Source organism: Homo sapiens, chromosome 11, assembly GCF_000001405.40.
Source record: "Homo sapiens chromosome 11, GRCh38.p14 Primary Assembly".
NCBI classification, from domain to species: Eukaryota; Metazoa; Chordata; class Mammalia; order Primates; family Hominidae; genus Homo; species Homo sapiens.
Window position 1 is genome coordinate 127,229,487 of NC_000011.10, and position 2,786 is coordinate 127,232,272.

Sequence of the window (2,786 nt, forward strand, 5' to 3'; positions counted from 1 at the left end):
CTTTCCTTCTTTCCTTCCTTCCCTTTTCCCTATTTTCCTTGGATTGAGTTCTATTGTATGACAGACTCTCTTAAATGGTGTGAACAGAAAGGTGATTATGGCAGGTATCCTGCCCTTCAGGAACGTAGTGATAGAGAAGCATTACTGCACGATTTCCAGTGCCACCCTAGAAATATGCAGGCACCGCAGCGCCTCCTCCCAGTCTCCCAGGCTGTGTGCTCTGGGCTGGCTTCTGTTTCTCTGGCTGCTCTGGCTCTGCTCCCCAGAAGGCTTCCCTTTGCCCCTTCAGGCCCAGGGTGACAATGGATTCTCAATGCTAGTTCCTGGATTCCTCACCAACCTTTATTGTTTTTTTTTTTTATTGTTGTTGTTTTTGTTTCTTAACTTCACTCACACCTCTGTGAATAGCCCTTTCACTAAATTTCTTTCAGGTGAATCCTTTTACATGTGCCATCTGTTTCTTGGGGGGACCCTGACTGACCTACCCATTGATCTTCAATGGTAACTAAAGTGTTTGTATTATAATATGTACAAACATATTAAACATGCCATCCTTGTAGTTTTAGTAAAACTAGAGAAGCAAAAGGAATGTATTACTGAAAACACATGAAACTAAAAGCCAAATGAAATAAACATTTAAAACATACTTAAATATGGTGTACTAGGTTGTTTGCCTAAACTACATTGCGGTTATGTGTGGGTTACTGATAACCATGGAGTGAGTTCCCTTGTGTTTGGCATAAATCTATCGCCATGTCCAGTGTGGTGACTCAATTCTCCCACCAGATCTCTGTGATCAAGTTACTGGGAAATCTTTATTCCTATAGTGAACATTGAGGTCATTTGACCTTCACTTTGAAAGAAAGCATTATTTATGTATTTAGCCAGCCTCTGCTCTTTCTCATTAGCTTTTCATTTAAAGAAGTACAACTTGTCACTATCACTATTGTAAACACAAACACAATCCCAAGCACTTTAATTGCCTGACAGTACTCTGTAATATGAAGGTGACCATCCTGATGACCCAGAATATGCTTTTATTAATTTTATATTAAATAAAATTAATAAAATTTATTTAAAAATTTATTAAAAATTATAAAATTTATTTAAAAATGTATTAAAAATTATAAAATTTATTAAATTTATATTAAATAAAAACATAAATCTAAAATATTTCTAAATGATTGGATTATGTCTGAGGACCTTCAGGTGCCGAGACCTGAGGTCACATGAAAAGCCGTAAAAGATCAATAAAAAGGGGACCAAGAGGATCAGATTTGCACACGGTATGGGGGGAGAGGAGATGGGGGATGGGAGATAAGTAGAAAAACATCCAGTCCAAGGTTTGTTTTAGTGCATCTCACATATAATTTTAAAATGTGGTGGAGGAAAAACAGTAAGACTTCATTCTTCATCCTCTTTTCCTACCATCCCACCCCAAATTAATCCGATCACACTTTTGATTTTCTTCCTGAGTGAGGAGGAATACTGCAGACAAGGAAGCAGGAAGTTGGGGCTGAATATTGAGCAACATCATGGAGCAGACAAGACTTAATCCCTCAAAAATGGAAAATGTAGACCAAAAGTTTATATATATATATAGTAACCATATACAACTGTATAACCATATATATGGGGAGACAGAGAGAGACAGAGAGAGAAAGAGAGAGATTCATCAGCAAGGCAGCAAGAACACCCCACAAGGTTTAGAAAGCCTGCATCCTGGCTTGGCTCTGCTAATGAGGTTAACTTCTTGGGTGAACTTCAGAAAAGCATTTCACCTTTGAGGACTCATTTCTCTGACTTATAAAACTGGGAAAGAGGATTGAACTAGACGATCTTTAAGATATAGCTCTAGCACTATAACCCAAGTCCTAGCAACAAAAAAATGTCATGTGGGTTTTTGCATGTGAGCAAGTGTGCATGTATACCAAGAAGTTCTCCCTAAAAATTAACCTTTGAATTGGTTCCCAAACAAACCAGAGCTCACTGTGGATTTCAGAGTCTTCTGGGCCCTGACTTTGTCGTGGCTTCTCTCCCCAGGCACCCATTTACTTGGCTGCAGCATGAAAGCACTTTAGAAGGAAGGGAGGGACTCAACCTGGCAGAAGAAGTCAAAAATGTTCTGAGCCTGGAAATAGCTCTCTGAGCAGCAAAATCTTCCAGCATCCACTTTCTGAAGTGACCCTGAGAGGAGAGGAAGCTCTAGGTGCATCCCCATCTTCTTAATGGCTGACTGGTTGGGGTGACTATGTTGGAAAGTGAAACTAATCTTCCCTGCTTTCTCTTCTAGAAAGGAGAGGACATTTTCTGTCTCTTCCCACACCAGAGAAATCTTGTAGAAATCACTTCCCACCCTTCTGTCCACTCCTTCTCTCTCACGTGAGTAGAACTAATTAAGCTCAATATTCCAAGTTTGAGGTCAACAGACCATATTTGCTATTGTATGGAGTTGCATACCTGGAAAGCAGGGGTCAGTTCAGCAGTGTCCTTTTCCCTGATTGTGGCCTTCTCGGAGGCTTAGGTGCAGTGGACTTTCATTTCCTCTCTCTGTGCAGGCACCCTGCACACTTGGACAAGGTGTTGATATAGTGTAGGAAGTAGGATACTTCATTTTGACTTCAGCATCAACAAAAAAGCTGTGTTGTACCATTACTCAAAGCCTTGCATTTTGGGCTGGGAGGGTTATTGCCCAGAGAAACAAGAGGGCTCTTCAGTTCTCAGTTTGCTGGTGATCTCTGTGTGTCTCCATTGATCAGGTCTCTGGAAGGAAAGAGGAGAAAGAT

General features: G+C 40.3%; 1 long non-coding RNA gene across 1 annotated transcript; it reads left to right on the top strand.

The window, feature by feature from the left end:
- The first annotated feature begins 438 nt into the window (after positions 1-438).
- On the top strand, positions 439-2,377 carry LOC107984379 (uncharacterized). The gene is made up of 3 exons (XR_001748080.1): positions 439-501; positions 2,044-2,209; positions 2,294-2,377. It is a non-coding gene; the product is annotated as an uncharacterized LOC107984379 (long non-coding RNA).
- The last annotated feature ends 409 nt before the right edge of the window (positions 2,378-2,786 follow it).